The sequence below is a fragment of the Homo sapiens genome, chromosome 1 (genome assembly GCF_000001405.40).
Source record: "Homo sapiens chromosome 1, GRCh38.p14 Primary Assembly".
Classification (NCBI taxonomy): Eukaryota; Metazoa; Chordata; class Mammalia; order Primates; family Hominidae; genus Homo; species Homo sapiens.
Window position 1 is genome coordinate 6,148,416 of NC_000001.11, and position 18,960 is coordinate 6,167,375.

Below are 18,960 nucleotides of genomic sequence, written 5' to 3' on the forward strand. Positions count from 1 at the left end.
AGTTCTGCCCTTGTGTGGCCTTAGGCAGGTCACTCTGCTTCCCTGAGCATCAGTTTTCTCATCTAAAAAGGGAGTAACATGCCTGGTGCCAGAATACTCAGTAATGTTAAAGGACACTATGATGGATGTGGAGCCCTTGCAGAGCACGTGGTCACTGAACAGTGGTCGCGGTGTTGGCATGATCACCACACCTGTCTGCCTTTCCCTAACACTCATGCCTCCCGTCTCTAGGGGAGTCAGACGCGGAGAAGGGCGCGAGGAAGCTATTGTGGACGGGGTCTCGAGCAGCGCGGGCGAAGCTTTGCGGGATCGGCTACCGAGGCGGGGCAGGAGCCGGCAGGGGCGGGGCCTTTTGAGGAGGGCAGGCCTTCCCCTGGGGGCGGGGCCTGTTCCTGGGGTGGGGCGGGGCGTCCGGCGCGGGGCGGGCGGAACACTCACAGTACAGCGCGGGCAGAGCCATTCACCGTTTGGGATCTCGGGCAGCGGCGGGTTGAGGCAATGCAGGTGGTAGGAGGAGGGGCAGGCGTCGCAGCAGAGCAGCTCGCCCCCGTCCTTGCACACGCGGCAGAACTCCATGTGGTCGTCCTCCTCCTCCTCGCAGCCGCCCTCCTCCTCTTCATCGTCGTCGTCCTTCGGCTCCCACTGGATCCCCTCCTTCTCCTGGGGGAGGAGGCCAGGTGGAGGCACCCTGGGCGGGGTCCCCGCTCCACCAGGCCCGACTCCCTCCCTCCCCTACAGCATCTCCCCGCATTCTGCCCCCAAATGAGGGCACAGGGGTGGGGGAGCCAGGCGTGGCCCCGCCCCCAGCCCGGGGCTCTGCCAAGGCTTACACAGTGGGGGCAGCTCCACTTGCCCTCGGGAGCCTTCTCCAGCTCTGGGTCCAGGCATACGAGATGGTAGGCCCTCGGGCAGGTGTCGCACAGGATGATCTCCCCACCCTGCTGGCACACCTCACAGTAATCCTGGTGGTCTGTCTCATAGCCGTCACCATCATCAACTAGGGTAGGGGAGAGGCAGTCATGGAAGTCCTCATCCACACTCCCAGCACACAACCAACTGCATCGCCCCAGGCCAGACAGGCACAGAGTAGATGTCTAATAGAGGGTGGATGGAAAGGTGGGTGGGTGAATAGACTGATGGTTGAGGTGGTAAAAGGGTGAGGAGATAGAAGATGGATAAAAGGAAAGAAGGAAGGAAGGAAGGGTAGGAGAGTGGGTGGATGGGTAGAAAGATGAATGGATAAATGGATGATGGATGGATAGACAAATGGATGGATAGATGAATGGATGGACAAATGGATGGATGGATGGATGATGAATGGACAAATGGATGGACAAATGGAAATGGGTGGACTGATGGATGGATGGATGGATGGACAAATGGATGGATGGATAGGTGGATGGAAGGATGGATGGATGATGAATGGACAAATGGACGGATGATGGATGGATGGATGGATGGACAAGTGGATGGATAGATGGATGTATAGATGGATGAATGGACAAAAGAATGGATGGATATATGGATAAACCAAATGGATGGATGAATGGATGGGCAAATGAATGGATGATGGATGGATGGACAAATGGATGGATGGATGGATGGATGGATGGATGGGCAAATGGATGAGTAATGGATGGACAAATGGAAGGATGGATGCATAGATGGACAAATGGATGGATAGATGGACAAAAGGATGGATAGATGAATGAACAAATGGATGGATGGGTGGACAAATGGATGATGGATGGACAAATGGATGATGGATGGACAGAGTGGTAGATGGATGGATGAACCAATGAATGGATAATGGATGGACAAATGAATGGATAACGGATGGACAATGGATGGATGGATGATGGATGGATGGACAAATGGATGATGGATGAATGGACAAGTGGATGGATGGATGGGATGGATGAATGGATGGACAGATGGATGGATGGACAAAAGGATGGATGGATGGATGGATGGATGGATGGATGGATGGATGGACAAGTGGATGGATGGATGATAGGATGGATGGATGGATGGATGGATGGATGGATGGACGGACGGACGGACGGACGGATGGACAAAAGGATGGATGAATGGATGGATGGATGGATGGTGGATGGATAGCTGACGGATGGATGGACAAATGGATTGATGATGGATGATGGATGAATGGCTGGATGGATGAAGGATGGATGGATAAAAAGAAGGGACTGAGGGAAGGAGGGAGAAGGAGGGATGGGAAGGAAGGTGAGGTAAAGATGGGTGTTAAGTGGGTGGGGGGTGACTGAAGGGAGGATGGCGATGAGATGAAGCACTTCCCTCTCCAGTCACCACACTGCTAATGCAAATGCCCTGGGGTAGCTCCCACCATAGGTTCCTTGTTCTTTCCTTACTGGGACAGGATGCCCCTCCCCAGACAGTAGAAACCAGGGCCGTGTGGGAAACACAGGGGCCCCACCTGGCTGAGACATGAGGATGCCCTCCCCCTGCTTCCCACGGGGAGGTTCCATGCCCCGCACATCCACCCGGCAGGCCGAGAACCGTCCAGATGGGGAGTCCTACTCGTGCCCCACTACATCCACCCAGCAGGCCAAGAACTCTCTGGAAGGGGAGTCATACTCCTCTTCTTCTTGCGCCTCCTCTTGCTCTTCTTGCCCAGGGCTGCAGAGCATTCGGAGCGCACGGAGGCACTGTGGATGCTGGCGCTGTCGAAGTCCGACTCCTCCCTCTCATCTTCTTCACTCTGCAGGGGAAGACAGGGTCCTGTGATCCCAGGGCTTCACCCAGAAGGCTTCGCTGGCCCAGGCAGTGTGGGGTGGGACAAAGCACGGAAGAGGCTCTGGAGACACAGTGCTCTCTGTGATTCATCTCAGCCCCCAACACAGCTGAAAACCTCACATTACAGCCTGCCTGTCCAGCCTGATGTCCCACCGCCTACCCAGAGCCCTGCTCTCCAGCCTCAGACACTTCCCACAATTTCCACCTCTGAACAGCTTCCCAGGCCTTGCCCTCCATCCTGCCAAACTCCTAAACATCCTTCAAGGGGCAGCCCTAGGGACACCTCCTCCAAGAAGTCTTCCCAGATCTCTCCTTTACTGGACCTACTGTGGCTGCGTGTGTGCCAGGTCTGGCCTGTCCTGTCTGACTGGTACATCACGGGCTCTCCACCAGCAAACATGCCTGCCAGGTGACGAGTGCTACAGGACCACGGCCCACTGTGGCTGAGCAGCGGGCCTGGTACACAGTATGTGCTCAACAAATATCTGCTAAGCTGAACTGGACCGTCAGCTCCAGGGCGGGCCACACCTTCTCTCCATGCTCCCCTCCAGACCTAACACTGGCTCCTGCCATGGTGCAGGGAAAGAGCTTCCAACTCCACCCACCGCAGGGCTGGGGTGAGGTGAGGGAGGCAGCTACCTGTGGGGGTGAGGAGGGCGAATGCCCCTCACACTCACAGAGAAAGGGGGGCCCCAAGGCTGAGTAAGACCTGGGCTTAGTGTCTGAGCCTGGGCCCAGAGCTGGCCCTGAGGACAGGAGGAGGTAACTGGGGCTCCAGCCAGCCTGATCCTACCCACATACCACTTCTCTAGGGTCCAGCCCCCACCCAACTACTCCCCCCGAGAGCAGACCTGGGTGCTGGGCGGCCAGGCCCCACCAGGACAGATCCCTCCACCTCCTGCCCAAATGGAGTTGCAGCTGTGGACAGCAGGAGCCAGGACTGAGCTCCCACTCAGGAGGGTGAGCCAGGGGAGCACTCCCTGCCCAGAGTCCAGGCTAGAAGGGCCCTTGGAAGGATTCAATCTAAACTCCTCATCACACAAATGGAGAAACTGAGGCCCAGCACACCTGCATGTAGGATGGAAGGAGAATAGTGGAGGGGTGCGACCTGCCCCAGCTAGTTTGTAATGAACTGAAGGCCCTCGCCTGGCCCTTGCGTGCTCATGTGCAGACACACATGCATGCAAATGCACACACACGCGCACACACGCACACACTCACCGAGGAGCCTTTCTTCCTCTTGTTGCTGATCCCCCCGAAGCGGAACTTGAGCCCGGCCGTCTTTTTCCCTTTGCCCTTTTTCTTCCCATCTTTGGAGCCTTTGATCTTCTTCCTCACTCCAGGCCCTGAAAAACAGCAGTGATGATAGCCAACCACTGCCACCACTGACGGCCTGCTTCCTGCCATCATCTCACTGAGCTCTCGGTTACCCAATAAGGAAAGGGTCATTTCTACCATCACCCCGTTTCAGATGAGATGCCTGAGGCTTGGAGAGGTAAACCCCTTGCTTAAAATCACACAGCAAGTGAGGCAAAAACCAGATGACGGCTCTGACTGGAGGCTGCCCTGACCGCCTTGCTGCCCCTTGTCCATGACCCACAGAAATGTGGCCCTTTTGGGAGGATCCCCTATACCGTCTCCAACCACTGAAAGGAGGCACTAGCCATCCCCCACAGCCAGCAGGGCCACTGAAGGCACAGCCGCCCACCTGTGGTCCATGCCTGAGCCCCCAAAGGATGTCTTGGAGCCAAAAGGCCTTTTCCCACCTGCCAGCCAGGCAATGCTGGTCCCACCCAAGACTGCCCCACCTCTGCCAGTCAACCCCAGCAAGGGCCAGCAGGGCTGAGGCTGTTTTTATGGAGCTGGCCACAGGGCAATTAGCTACCTGGGGAGTAATGACCCAAGAAGGAAGGGGGGCCTGGAGGCAGGGATGCACACCCCACAGAGGCAGCCTCTCCCCAGGCCGTCCTCTGGCCACACCACACACACGGACATGGAGCTAGGAGCCCAGCTGCACCCTCCATGGCGCCGCGGAAAATCTATTTCAATTTTCCAAGCTCTGAATAAGCAGCTCATGGAATCGATAGCTCAGCAGCTGGAGCGCGAGAGGAAATGAGAAAACAAGGCAGGCTGGGCAGACAGGGGCGGGCCAGGAGCCCCTCCCGAGATCCTGATGGCCCAGACAGATGGAGCAGGACAGGGAACAGACTCTGACCCTTGTCACTTCACCCACCAGGCTCCCTTCAGAGACTTGGCATGGTGATGCCAGACACAGAACCCCAGAAACTAAAGCTCCTTGGGGCTGAAAGAAGGGATCCCCGGAGCCCCCTCAGCCCCTTCCATCAAAACCCAAATCAGCCAGACGCGGTGGCTCACACCTGCAATCCCAGCACTTTGGGAGGCCGAGGTGGGCAGATCACCTGAGGTCAGGAGTTCTGAGACCAGCCTGGCCAACACGGTGAAACCCCGTCTCTACTAAAAATACAAAAAATTAGCCAGGTGTGGTGATGCACTCCTGTAATCCCAGCTACTCAGGAGGCTGAGGCAGGAGAATTGCTTGAACCCAGGAGGCGGAGGTTGCAGTGTGCAGAGATCGTGCCACTGCACTCCAGCCTGGGAGACAGAGTGAGAGTCTGTCAAAACAAAACAAAACAAAACAAAACAAATCAGGGCACCCAGGAAAGCTGAGCTGCAGGTGACTGACAGCCCTGGGGAGATCAACATCCCCAGCCTCCAAAAGGCCAGAAACCTGCACCCAGAAAGCTCCCTCCCCAGGGCCTTCAAGTCACAGGGGGCCTCTGCTGCCTGCATCCTCCCCACCCAGACGCCCTGCCACTGAGGCAGAATTTGGATCTCGATCTCCTTCCAGGCCTGTCCCAGAACAGCCTCCCTGGGAAGCGAGACCTGGCCGTGCCCAGTCCCTCCAACTCCTGCCTGCTTCCCGGATCCTAAAGCTGGAGGGGCAGGGCCTCCATGCTCCACATTGGCCGAGGGCCTGGAGAACAACCCTGCACACAGTGGGTATGCAGACAAGAAGAAGAGACGGGCTCGACTGGGGCCTCCTCCTCCTCCCCAGAAACGGCACAGGCTCAAACCCAAGAGCCTGCCAACTCCCAGAAACCCAGGCTGGAGCGGCTCCACTCTGCGTACCTCTGGTCCCGCCCTCCCTCCAGGCCCACGTCGGGGGCACCTCCTGGCTGGCCAGGCTCAAACCTCCCAGACCTCTGCCCACATCATCGCCTCTGCTTCTCCACCAACCCCAAAAGGGAGTCAGGCACAAAAGAGGCGACGATGCTGCCTCACTGCTGAGAAAGGACCGGGCAATCCAAGGTCACACAGGCACAGAGCCCTCCATTAGGAGCACCCCAGCTGCCCCTCCCTGCCCGCGTCTGCCCCGTGGCTTCTCCTATAGGGTCTGAAAGGGACCTCTTCCCAGCGGGACTAGGTGCCCACCCAACCCCAGCCTTACCTTTGCCCTCCTTGGTCTTGGCCTTGCGGATAGGCACAGGCTGGGGCACCTGCGGGGGGCTGACGGCTAGCGGAGGGGAGATGGTGACCGTCTCTACAGCCGCAGCCACCGCCGCCGCCGCTGCTGCCGCGGAGCTGCCCTTGAAGGGGTTGTTGGCGCTGAACTCCCGCCACTTGGCACCCAGGACGGTCATCATTTTGGACATGGGGATCTTCGGGTTCTTCTTGGCAATGAGTGGCCTGTAGGGGGAGAGGCAGGAGGGTGAGGGCAAGGCCAGGTGAGATGAGAGGCCCACCCGACCCCCGGCAGGGCCCACCCCTCTGCCACATGTGCGATCTATGGCAGCAGCCCCAGGTTCCTGATTAGAGAGATTAGGCGGGAAACCCACTGACCACAGCCCACCCCCAAAACGCCCCAGCTTCCTGTCCACACCCACAGCCCACCCCCAAAACACCCAGCTTCCTGTCCACACCCACAGCCCACCCCCAAAACACCCAGCTTCCTGTCCACACCCACAGCCCACCCCCAAAACACCCCAGCTTCCTGTCCACACAGTTGGTGATTTTCTCATTGGGTTTTCAGGCCCTGCAAGACTTGTGGGGCCACAGGTGGGCTACAGTGGGCCTTGGGGTCTCCGTCCCACCTCTACCAGAGCTGAGAGGCCATGGTGGTGAAAGACCCCCCAGGAAAGACTGGAACCACCTTCCCCAAGGGGAAGAGACTCAAGGGCTGAGGGGCAGGGCCCACAAGGGAAGGCCTGGTGGTCTGTTAACATGAAGGGGTCCTGCCCCCTCCCTCCAGCTCCCCCAGGTTGCTCAGTCGGTCTGACAGAGCCCACCCCTACCCCAGGTGCCGGGGCTTCACTCCTCTGCCTCCCTCCCGACTTGGTACCACCAGAGGATGTGCGGGCCTGGAGAACAGCCCTAGTGCCCCGCCCACCTGAGGAACTGGCTGAAGGCCTTGTAGTTGGTCAGCGTGTGGTAATCCTCCTCCGAGAACAGGTAGTCCACGTCGTCCAGGCCCCACTCGGCCATGAGCTGCCCCGAGGACTTGGGCTCCTACAGAGACCCAGGCCAGAGGTAGAGTTGTTGAGGGGCCTTCTGACCTGCACCCCCATCCCCAGGGTCTCTGCCTAGGAGGCTTTGGCACAGGGGAAAGAGGAGGGGTTGTGTCTGCAATGTAACCAGACCATTCTCACCCACCCTAGGAAACATTCAAGCCCTGCAGCCCCGCAGCCCCGCAGCCCCCAATCTGTGCCACGTCTCAGATGCCAGCCCACGAAGTGCAGGCCAAGTGTTCGACGTCAGGGTTTGGGGAGAGGCCATGTGTGTGCCCTGAACTTCCAGAAAGGGAAATCAGCCAGGTGTGGGCAAGGAGACTGGATGCCTGAGACCAGGCCCCCATCCTGAGATAGGGCTGCCCGACCAGCCTCGGGACACCAGGGCAGGACAACAGAACTTGCCCTCTGTGGGGACTGCATTCTGGGGATTTGGACAGCAGGACAGCACAGTGGCCTGAAGACGGGAAGATGTCCCTGATGAGGCCGCAGGGCTCCAGGGCTGCCTAAGCCACTTTAGAAAGACATGAGGCCTCCAGGCCAGGGGTGGTGGCTCACGCCCGTAATCCCAACACTTTGGGAGGCCAAGGCAGACAGATCATTTGAGGTCAGGAGTTAGAGACCAGCCGGGCCAACATGCTGAAACCCTGTCTCTACTAAAATACAAAAATTAGTTGGGTGTGTTGGTGTGTGCCTGTAATCTCAGCTATTTGTGAGCCTGAGGCAGGAGAATCACTTGAACTCGGGAGACGGAGGTTGCAGTGAGCCGAGATGGCGCCACTGCACTCCAGCCTGGGTGACAGAGCAAGATTCTGTCTCAAAAAAAAAAAAAAAAAAAAAGACATGAGGCCTCCCCAGGATGCCAGGTATAGCTACGTCAGCCCTTGTGAAGGACAGGCCACTGCCAGTTTCCAGTGAAAGGAAAGTGCACTCTGCTGGGGCAGGGGCATGGGACAATGGGCCAGCTGGGGGCACAGCCCAGAGAGGATCCAACTACTGCTGAGGCCTGGGGTGGAGGGACATCCTGGGGGCACAGCCCTGAGAGGATCCAACTACTGCTGAGGCCTGGGGTGGGGGGACATCCCAGGGGCACAGTGAGTTCTCAAGAGAGCTAGCCCAGGGGTCAGGTGACCAGATGACCAGGCCCGGGCTGGCGGGGCTCAGAAAGGGAGGTGCCGGATGTGGGCATGGGCTGGTTCTGATCCTGGCTCTGCCACATACCGGTGGTAAGAAGTGGATAAGTTACTTAACTTTCCTGCCTCGGTTTCCCCATCTGTAAAATGGAGATAATGGCACACTGCCTTGCAGAACAGAATGACTTAGTGCAGGTGCTTGGAACAGGGTGTGTCAAAATGCGTTAGCAATTGTTAGCACCCAACCCACCCTTCTTCTTCCTTCCCTGACACCCCACTTCTTCCAAGCAGCCCTGAGCTGCCCCCACCCAACCTGATACATTAAGCCAATCAGTACACACCACTCCTAGGCCAAAGTCTGGTCAGGCCAGTCATGTCTTAAGCCAGTCCAATCAGAGGGAATGCTGGTCTCCTGCCTGCATACCTGGACATGGGAGGCCTGCTCTCCCTCCTGCTGGAGGGGCCAAGAAGCCCCGAGCTGCTGCTGCCCTCATTCTCAGCCACAAGAATGCTCAGCCATGAGGGTGCCTGGCCTGAGCCCAACACTGCCACAGCAGAGGCAGAGTGAATGATGCAAAGAGACAGCCTCTGATAACACCACTGGGTCCCACAACCCCGAAGCCCCTTGCCTCTTAGTTCTCAGGGCCCTGATCCCACACATCCCTCTACTGCCTAGGCCCCGGAGCTGGGCTTCTGCTCCTGCAACAGGAGGCTGCCCTGAGCGTCTCCCAGCACTGAGAACCAGTCTGCCCATCCAGGCTGCGGGAGGCCTCCAGAGCCCATTCTTGCCTCCTGTTCTGTGACAGCTCAGAGAATTCCTCACATGGGGCCCCCTCTGTGGCTGACCTGCCCCCGTGGACACACATGGCCATTCCTGATGGCACACGGACCCCTTGGTCCCCACCCAGGACAGCAGAGCAGCAGGTGAGCGAGGGGATGATACTGTTACAGGGTGATCCTGAATCACTCTCTTAAGTGAAGCTTTCAGAACTGTCAGCCCCGCAGCGACGATCCGTCTCCGGTGACTCACAACACTCCACTGACTCATGAAATCACCCCAGGTGTCAGGACACCGCCAGGAAGAATCGCTCCTCCTCCCACACCTCCCAACTTCAGTTATTCACATTCATGATTTCTGCCTCACCCAACAGCAACTGTACTAATATTTACAGAGCGTTTATCTTTAAATCTGTGACCAGCCCAAACCGAGCCTTGGTGTCTCTTAAAAGAACAAAGGGAGCACAGTGTTCCTGAATGGCACTGTCACTCACCCACTGCCTGTCCACCAACCTCACCCCTGGCCTCTCCATCTCCCCAAGGAGCCCCAGGGTGCAGCCTCTGAGACTCCGGAGCACCTCAGCATGACCATAAAGGCCTGGCTTCCTTCACATCATTTCCCATGTTCCTGGGGACGCTGGGCCCAGGGGAGAGCTGGCCCATCTCTGTAGCCGCTCTGCCCCACGTGCAGTAGGAGACTCCGGGAATGCCTGCTTGGGCAGGATTTCAGAACACAAGTTCCCTTTCTACCATAAACAAAGCTGTCCAGCACTTCTTGTGGCAAAGACTCCATTTGTTGTTTTATTTTCCCGAATTGCTCCAAGCAAGAGGTTCCTGACACTAAACTTGAGCTCACACTATCTATCACTCTCCCCTAGAAATAGCTGCTCACTCAAAAATTAGCTGTGCGTGGTGATGCGTGCCTGTAGTACCAGCTACTCAGAAGGCTAAGGCAGGAGCCACTGCACTCCAGCCTGGACAACAGAGCAAAACTCCTTCTAAAAAAGAAAAAAAGAACAGGCTGGGCGCAGTGGCTCACGCCTGTAATCCCAGCACTTTGGGAGGCCAAGGCAGGCAGATCGCGAGGTCAAGAGATGGAGGCCGGGCGCGGTGGCTCACACCTGTAATCCCAGCACTTTGGGAGGCCGAGGCGGGCGGATCACGAGGTCAGGAGATCGAGACCATCCCGGCTAAAACGGTGAAACCCCATCTCTACTAAAAATACAAAAAATTAGCCGGGCGTAGTGGCGGGCGCCTGTAGTCCCAGCTACTTGGGAGGCTGAGGCAGGAGAATGGCGTGAACCCGGGAGGCGAAGCTTGCAGTGAGCCGAGATCCCGCCACTGCACTCCAGCCTGGGCGACAGAGCGAGACTCCGTCTCAAAAAAAAAAAAAAAAAAAAGAGATGGGGACCATCCTGGCCAACATGGTAAAATCCTGTCTCTACTAAAAATACAAAAATTAGCCAGGCGTGGTGGCACGCACCTGTAGTCCCAGCTACTCGGGAGGCTGAGGCAGGAGAATTGCTTGAACCTGGGAGGCGGTTGCAGTGAGCCGAGGTCACGCCACTGCACTCCAGCCTGGCAACAGAGTGAGACTCCATCACACACACACACACACACACACACACACACAGAACATACAGGCAAGAGGCTCAGCCCCCTTAAAGGGGGATGTCGCTCTGTCCCCCCAGCCAGGCCTCCACAGTTACCTTTAAGCATCCATCATCATTATCATCCTCATCCTCATCCTTCTTTTTTCGCTTGGCTTTTTTCTCCTTCTTGTCCTTGAGTTTCTTCTTCTTCTTTTTATTCGGGGAGTAGTCACTGCCTTCACTCTCCGACTTCTCTTCCAGATCCTCTTCATTCTCTGATAGCTCATCATTGCTCCCCTGGAAAAGAAGGGGGACAGTGAGGGCAACAGAGGCCCCAGGAACATCCAGAGTCCTGGGTGGCAGGACGGCCCTGAGAGCTACCTCCTGGCCCACGCTGGGGATCGACCGATCCCCATCACTCCACTCATCATCAGAGGCCACTGCTCACAGCTCAGCCCCAAAGCCCAGCCAAAGGGGCAACCCCAAGCCAGCCTGAGCCAAGTCTTGTCCCCAGGGTCTACGCCACAGGAAGCAGTAGAACCTGCAGGTGAGGCGAGGTGAGGCTCTCGTGAGAGCAGGCTTCTCCATCTGCAAGCTCGGCTCAGCCCACTCCAGCAGCCCTGCGGGTGAACTCAGGCTCCGCTTCAGTCATCATTGGGCTTCTATGGACTTTGGGGGCTGAATTAGTTTTACATGATGAGGCATGGACCCAGGAGCTGGCGGTGGAGGATGTGGTCCCAGAGTCAAAAAGCAAAGTGCACAGGAAGAGCCCCAGCCAGGGAAGGGCCCCAGCCAGAGAAGAAAAGCCCCAGCCAGGGAAGGGCCTCAGCCAGAGAAGAAGAGCCACAGCCAGGGAAGGGCCCCAGCCAGAGAAGAAGAACCCCAGCCAGGGAAGGGCCCCAGCCAGGGAAGGGCCCCAGCCAGGGAAGGGCCCCAGCAAGGGAAGAGCCCCAGCCAGGGAAGGGCCCCAGCCAGAGAAGAAGAGCCCTAGCCAGGGAAGGGCCCCAGCCAGAGAAGGGCCCCAGCCAGAGAAGGAGAGCCCCAGCCAGGGAAGGGCCCCAGCCAGAGAAGAAGAACCCCAGCCAGGGAAGGGCCCCAGCCAGGGAAGGGCCCCAGCAAGGGAAGAGCCCCAGCCAGGGAAGGGCCCCAGCCAGAGAAGAAGAGCCCTAGCCAGGGAAGGGCCCCAGCCAGAGAAGGGCCCCAGCCAGAGAAGGAGAGCCCCAGCCAGGGAAGGGCCCCAGCCAGAGAAGGAGAGCCCCAGCCAGGGAAGGGCCCCAGCCAGAGAAGGAGAGCCCCAGCCAGGGAAGGGCCGCTGCATCTCAGGCCCCAGCGCCACAGCTCTCTGCTTAAGTTCACATCCCATGGAACTGCGTTCGTCAGGTGAAACCTGTAATTAATGCAGCAGGCACATCACAGTTTTCTCCATGTGCGGACTCTGCAGACACTGCTATGGATGGCACAAGCCCACCTTCCCCCTCTCCCACCCCATCCTGGCCGCTTCCTCTCCATATGAGACAAGGTAATTTAGGCAGCTCTTAAGCTTGGCTTCCTTGATTTAGTTTCCTGTCTGTACAGGCAGAAAATGGCCCATTTATATGGAGATAAGGGCGTTTACAACCAGAGCACCCCACCAGAGAGGTGCTGCCCCTCGGAGAAAGTGGTTTACTTGTGGCCTTTAGAGACACAAGTCAACTGGCGAAGCCCTCCACAGCCCCTTCCCAGGGAGGGGCCGGGCAGCACTGCCATGATCCCCGGGGCATGCGGGGCTTGCCATGCGCAGGACTGCTGTTAACTGTTTTCGGGGTGAGCAAGGAGAGGCATGGGATGAGATTAAGACAGAACCGGAGAGATAAAAAATGAGCTCAGGAAACAGCAGTGGCCAGGAGGGAGGATGAAGGAAAGAGGGAGGGAGGGAGAAGGAAAGGAAAGGGTGGCAGAAGGAAAGAGAATGAGGAGGCAGCAAAGGCGGGGGGCCTCCCTGGATAGTCTTGGGAGGCCCCCAGCCCAACTCTGCCCTTTCAGGCCACACTGTCAAGAGGGGATGACCTGCCTTTTCCCAGGAGAGTGGCTCCAAACAGTCACATCCAACAGTTCGTGGAGGGGGAGACGGTCACTGACAGGGGAGGTGGGGGCCCCCTCTGACATCCAGCTGGGAAGCACCCCTTCCAACAGGCTGCCTGCACTTCCCTCCTCTCCTGGAAGCCCCGCTCCCTCTCCCCTGCCCACCAGCCTCCCTGCTCCCAAACCTCTTAGCCCATTAAGCCTCCAGAGTCAGCGGCGCTGCCAGCTGCCAGGCAGCAGGGCCTCTGTGCTCTTTGCTTTTCCGGAACCCGGGTGTTTCCGGGAATACTGACACAGCCACTGGCTGGGAGCCTGCTCTCAAGGCTGGAGGAGATGCTGGGCCCTGGAGCCACGGCTCCCAAGCTCGGCCTCGGTCCTTTGGGGAGGTGGAGATGAGACAGTGATGTCCACGTCCCGTTGAGGGTGTCAGAGTTTGGCCAGCTTCAAGAGACCGCCCTTCAGGAGATCTGAGAGACACGCTCTCCCTGAGCCCTCACCCCAGCAAAGGTAAGGACAAGAGAGGCCGCCATGAACTTCAGCACCACGGACAGAGGCTGGGGCTGGCCGGAGGAAGGGGCCCTGGGTGGCCTTCAGCTGCTAGAGAGCAAACCCCACAAACCTACCGAGGATGAAGTTGAGGGACCCACGGTTAATCCTACGTGGCCTGCCAGTGAGTCCCGGGCTCCCCAGGGAGGCTCTGCCCCTTGCAAGCCTGAGACTTGGCCAAGTCACTGTAGCGAGCTAAACCTCAGCTTCATCGTCTGTGAACTGGGAATGCCAGAAAGGATAGAACCAGGGAGACTGTAAGAAAATGCCTTGAGGCTGGGCGCGGTGACTCACGCTTGAAATCCCAGCACTTTGGGAGGCCGAGGCGGGCAGATCACCTAAGGTTGGGAGCTCAAGACTAGCCTGACCAACTTGGAGAAACACTTTCTCTACTGAAAAAAAAATACAAAATTAGCTGGGCATGGTGGTACATGCCTGCAATCCCAGCTACTCAGGAGGCTGAGGCAGGAGAATCGCTTGAACCTGGGAGGCGGAGGTTGCAGTGAGCCGAGATCGCACCATTGTACTCCAGCCTGGGTAATAAGAGCCAAACTCCATCTCAAAAAAAAAAAGAAAAGAAAAGAAAGAAAAGAAAATGCCTTGAACATCTGTGACCCGGGAGAAACCTAAGCACAGAGAAGCAGGGCTCTGAGCCAGGGTGGAGGGGAGGGATGGGACGTGCACCCAGGTCTCCAGGGCTGGGCCGCCTTGCTGTGTCCTGGGCAGGGGACTCGGCCAAGCCAGAGCAGGCTGCAGTCAGAATGACCCTTTCCCCCTGACACCACCACGACCACATGTAGACACCAGAGGCCGCTGGGATTCTGATAATGCCCAGAAAATGCCCAAACAACCCATGATGACCCCAGCTCTGCATGGAAGCCAAAGATACAGCCAGGACGACAAGCTGGAGGGGACACACCAAGCTCACCCCCACATTTTTGCTGTCGGGATTGGGCTCCAGCCAACTGCACAGAGGCTGCCAGCAGCTGGGGCGAGACGCGGTACAGAGGGAGCAGGACCTGGACAAGAAGGGGCTGCTGTGGCAACATCTACGGGGAGCCAACCCAGCATCTGATGGCAAGCAGTCCCCTCGGCGACCTGCAGGGGAGACCAGGAGTGGCGGCCCAGGGAGAGCCGGAAGGAGGGAGGGATAGGGAGGGGAAGGCACCTCCAGCAGCCTCCACTGTCTGGCAGGAGCAGCAGCGCATGCCACCTTGGGAGAGTAGGGCTGGCAGAAGGCCATGAGCCCAGCACTGACAGGGCTCGCCCAGCGTCCGCTCAGGGTTAAGTGGCAGAGCAGGAGGGCACAGACCCTCAGCACAGAATGGGCTCAGACAACGTCAGGCATGTCTGTTGCCCATCTGTGGCCCCTTCCCTGCTGTCACCCACTGGGGCTCAGGCAAGCCAGCAAAGCCCTCATTTCTTGGAAGCAGGTGCACTTCTCTCCCTCCTCCATCCACCTGCACTGGGGAAAGCCCAGTCGATGAGAAGGGTCTGACGCCCAAGTCCCCACCTGCCTCCCCTGCCCTGAGCCTCTGCCCTGCCTCCACCACATGGAGCCCGCACAGCTGGGCCTCCCACCTGCACCAGATATCACCTGAACCCTCCTCCCCTACCAGGGGCTGGCCGAGGGTGGGGGTGCAGGGCAGAACCCTGCATCCAGCTGTTTTGACATTCTAGAACTAGGCCTCCTTTTTGTGGTGTTTTTCCAAAATCTCTCCTTGCAGAGAAAGCTGCAAATAGTTCTGAAAACACCTAGCAGAGCAGTGGCCCATGAGCAGGACCTGGAGGGACGGAGCATCATCCAGCGGCAAGAAGGAAAGAAACGATCAAGAACCAGAGGCAGATTCACAGTTCAGTATCTCAAAACATACTGAGAGGCTCGTAGACCAAGCCACGTGCAGGGGAGGAGACAGAGACGCAGACCAATAAGTCCCTAACTAAGCCCCCGAACCAACCCAACCCTAAGGTTTGAGGGCCATCAAACCACACTGCAGGCATGAAGATACAGATGACAGTTGGCCTTCGACCTTGGCACTGACCTTTCGGCTGCAGCAGCCTTAGGCGTGACTACAGGGGACGCCCTACCAGCTAGCAGAAGAATCTTAGTGGATGTGGAGTCCCCACATGAACTCCACCTGCAAAGCTGCCTTGAATGTTATGCCCAGCCTATGTGTGCCAGGAGGCAGGGGCAGGCAGGAGGGGTCTCTGCTCTGAGCCCCCACCCTGCTGAGGGCACAGCATGTGGTCGCAGCCCTGGGGATCCCAATGGACAGTCCCGCCACCCTTCCTCCTTCCCAGCTCCGCAGATGTTTCTTGGCAGAGGCCTCCCACCTCCATCTCCCTTCCCTCTAGGCCCGATGCTCCGCACACGCACCGCATCTCCTAAAAACGGAGACATTTAAACTCATAAGGAAGGGTGCGGAGAGTGGGTCATTCTCCATTTGGGGTCCTTCAAGATTGAGAGGGAAAAGGGAAGAATGAAATAGGAGCCTTCCCATTCACGAGTGTTATAAACAGTTATAATTTAGCACTGAATAATTGGTTGCTATGGTAACCGCTGCAGTACAGGTTGAAATCATTTCTCCCTCCTGCGCTCGCTAGGGTCTGACAGGGAGCTTCATCTACATATGCTCAGGTTCCGGCTGCAGCCCGGTTATTTTATGTAAATCAGAATCCACGACTTGCTGCCGGCCTCCCCCCACTAACAAACTGCTGCTTGCGGCCCACCTGCCCTGGCCCCTTCACCCCGTCATCTTGGAGCCACCTGGTTGGAGGCAGAGAGGGGCAGAGGGGTGAAATTCCCTTGTCTTTATCCTGGGGCTCCTAGTCTGCCAGGCAGGTGGGCAAAGGGGCACCCGGCAGCTGGGCCACAGTGTGCTCCAGACCCCTTAAGATCTGACAGCTGGCCCGAGCCAGGCTCTCAAATGCAGGGGAGGGGGCACCTCTGGAGGCCTCTTGTCCATCCCAGCCCCCTTCCCCTTCCAAGAACCAGAGCTGCATCTCAGTAGAGAGAAGGAGAGAGGGTGAGGAAGGGGTGGAGCAAATCAAAGAGAGGGAGAGAAATGAGGGTACAGGGGGAAGAGAGAAAAGACGGCAAAGGAGAGAGAGGAGATGCCGAGAGGTTACCAAGGTGGACACCAAGCACAGGCCAGAGGGAATGACCAAGTCTGAGACCCAGAGAGAGACAGACAGACAAGAGCCAGAGAGAGATAAGGACCTGGACAAAAACAAAAACATATTGTCAGAGAAAGAAGCGGGAGGGAAGACCTGGGCCAGTTGGAAAAGGGAAGGCTCAGCGTGATCATGGCCCTGGGAATGAGAGCGTCGGAGAACCAGCCCTCCCAGGTCTCAAAGACCCCCTGGCCCCCAGCCCCCAGGCCTCGCCCCTGTCCAGGCGCTGCCCACCTCCCAAGCCTCCCTAGCCAGGGCTGGTGCTGTACCCTGAGCCCAGGAGACGGGAGGGGAGCCAGCCCTATCTGGGGAGGATGGGGGCTCCCACAGGGCTCCCACAGGTCTCTGCTGCACCCCACTGGGTCCTTCTTCTGCATTTGGAAGTCAGGCCCACCCAGCCCAGTGGCCTGAGACCCAGGCCCAGGTGACACTGCCCCTCTTGGCCTAGACTCCCACCCAGCTTCTAAGTCAGAGGAGGTGGGCAGTGGGTGCACAGGTAGGAGTCCCTGCCATGGACCACGAGGCCTCGGGGTCCTAAAATCCACATCACCCCGAGCCCATGGAGCCCAGGTCTGAGGAGTGAGGGCGGGGATGGCAGCAGAGCAAGATTTTACAGCCTCCACCAGACAGTCTCGGTGTCTTCATCCCAGGGCCTTGCAGCTCCAGAGCCATCTACCCCATGCCCAGCACAAAGACCGACCTCTGGGGCCAGGGGACAGCGGCCACAGCAGCAGAAGAGGAGGGCGGGGCTGCAGCAGGGAATTCAGGGAGCCCCTCCCAAAGGAGCTGGCTCACAGCCTCTCCTTCCCTGGGGGAGCCTCCAGGCACGCACTCCCCGCTTCCCCTGTCCTATCTCCACTTCCCCATCAAATAACAGGGACAGGGAGCTTCACCCTCTTTGAGACCCCGGGGAAGATGCAAGAGCCGCAGAGTGCAGGCCTGGGAGTCTCTGGGGCATGATGGGCCAGGCAGGAGCCTCCACACCCAGCTCCACAGACCCGGGTTCCCCCTTCACCTCACAAATCCTCCCCATGCAGCCCCCATGCTGGCCCAGTGGTAAGGGGGGGTTCCCGGGAAGGGACAGACACACATCCATCCCGGACACTGTGTCAGACGGGGCACAGAGCTGAGGGACAACAGAGAAGGCAAGCAGAATTGGGCAGAGGGGCCAGGGTCTCTCTAGGGGAAGACAGGGTGGTACACACACAGTCACATGCACACACGTGTGTGCACGGAGGACCAGAAGGGCCTGGATTGGCTGCAAAGCAGGTGGGGGTCGGGGGCAGGGGCTTGGAGTGGCAGCAGTGGGGGTGCTGCACAGGCTCTGGACCAGGGGGCCGTGGGGCACAGTCAGAGCACACTCAGGAAGCTCTCCCAGGAGAGCCCAGGGCTGCAGAAGCCCCACAAGGCAGGGGCTGGGAGAGAAGGGCCGGTAGGAGGTGGGTGAGAGGTGCTGACTGCCGCCCCCAGCAAAGAGCACCGGGGCGGTACACACCTGGGGCAACTCTGGCCAGAGGGTTGGGGCTAACACCTCCCAGCCCCATCCTTTCCCCAGCAGTCCCTGAACTCCGTGGGGACCAAGGACACAGTCCAGGGCGGGCTCTGCCCTCCCAACATCCCCAGGCTGACACCCAGACCAGAAAAGGAACCACAGGCTGCAGGTAGAGTTCAGAGCCCCCCAAAATGCCTCCAAGTACCCGAACAAGCCGGGGAAGTGGAAATGGGGCACAGACCCGAGGCCCAGAGGCGAAGGCAGGGACCCTCGCCCCCCACCACCACCATCTCTCCCACCCCAGGGCCGCCAGGGGAGCCTGCCAGGATGTCATGTCATAGCAGTCCCTCCTCTGCTCGAAGCCTTCCAGTGATCTCACCTTGTTCACGGGACAAGAGGCCCATGGTGCACCACCCGCAACAGGCCCTCCCGAAACCCTCACAGCACGGAGTGTCTCCAGCCTGGGACAAGCTCCCCAAACCCACCCCTAAGCTCTTCTGGCAGCCACCTCCCCACCTCACTCTGCAGGGAGGCCTAGATCCGGGCCCAGCGCTGCCAAGGGCACCCCCTTAGCATTAGCACCTCACCTCACCACCACTGCGCCTCACCAGCTACCTCCCTGGGCCTCTCACTTGCAAGGTGGGGCCAGGCCAGTCCCCTCTAGGCGGGGGAAAGAAAGGTGGAGAGCTGGCCTCAGGTCCCCCCGGGGCAGGTGGGAGGGGAGAAACACTCCTGGCAGCGGTGGCTGGTGGAGCTGACAGCCCTGGATTCAGATCTCAGCACCACCACTGTGTCACTGTGTGACCTTGGGCCAGGGCACCTCTGAGCCCCCGCTCTCATCTGTGAAGTGAGGTGCTTGCCATTGCTCTCAACATAGGGTCGCT

At 58.5% G+C, this 18,960-nt stretch overlaps 1 protein-coding gene across 1 annotated transcript in view, besides 2 other annotated features; it reads right to left on the reverse strand.

Annotated features, from left to right (window-relative positions):
- Positions 1–18,960, reverse strand: part of CHD5 (chromodomain helicase DNA binding protein 5) — a 78,535-nt gene that overhangs the window by 46,629 nt on the left and 12,946 nt on the right. Inside the window, exons 3-9 of the mRNA NM_015557.3 lie at positions 10,921–11,100; positions 7,184–7,302; positions 6,245–6,483; positions 3,997–4,121; positions 2,617–2,740; positions 831–997; positions 439–660 (exon numbers count right to left, since the gene is read on the reverse strand). Of these exons, the coding sequence (NP_056372.1) occupies positions 439–660; positions 831–997; positions 2,617–2,740; positions 3,997–4,121; positions 6,245–6,483; positions 7,184–7,302; positions 10,921–11,100 (1,176 nt within the window). The remainder of the gene's footprint in view (positions 1–438; positions 661–830; positions 998–2,616; positions 2,741–3,996; positions 4,122–6,244; positions 6,484–7,183; positions 7,303–10,920; positions 11,101–18,960) is intronic.
- Positions 13,291–13,491: a silencer, noted in NCBI's record as "peak27 fragment used in MPRA reporter construct". NCBI's record gives its function as "represses an SCP1 promoter by STARR-seq MPRAs in K562 erythroleukemia cells {active_cell/tissue: K562}" and the evidence as "EXISTENCE:reporter gene assay evidence [ECO:0000049][PMID:32103011]".
- Positions 17,252–17,752: an enhancer, noted in NCBI's record as "H3K4me1 hESC enhancer chr1:6225727-6226227 (GRCh37/hg19 assembly coordinates)". NCBI's record gives its function as "activates a minimal SCP1, AML or CMV promoter by ChIP-STARR-seq in naive H9 embryonic stem cells {active_cell/tissue: H9 hESC(naive)}" and the evidence as "EXISTENCE:reporter gene assay evidence [ECO:0000049][PMID:30033119]".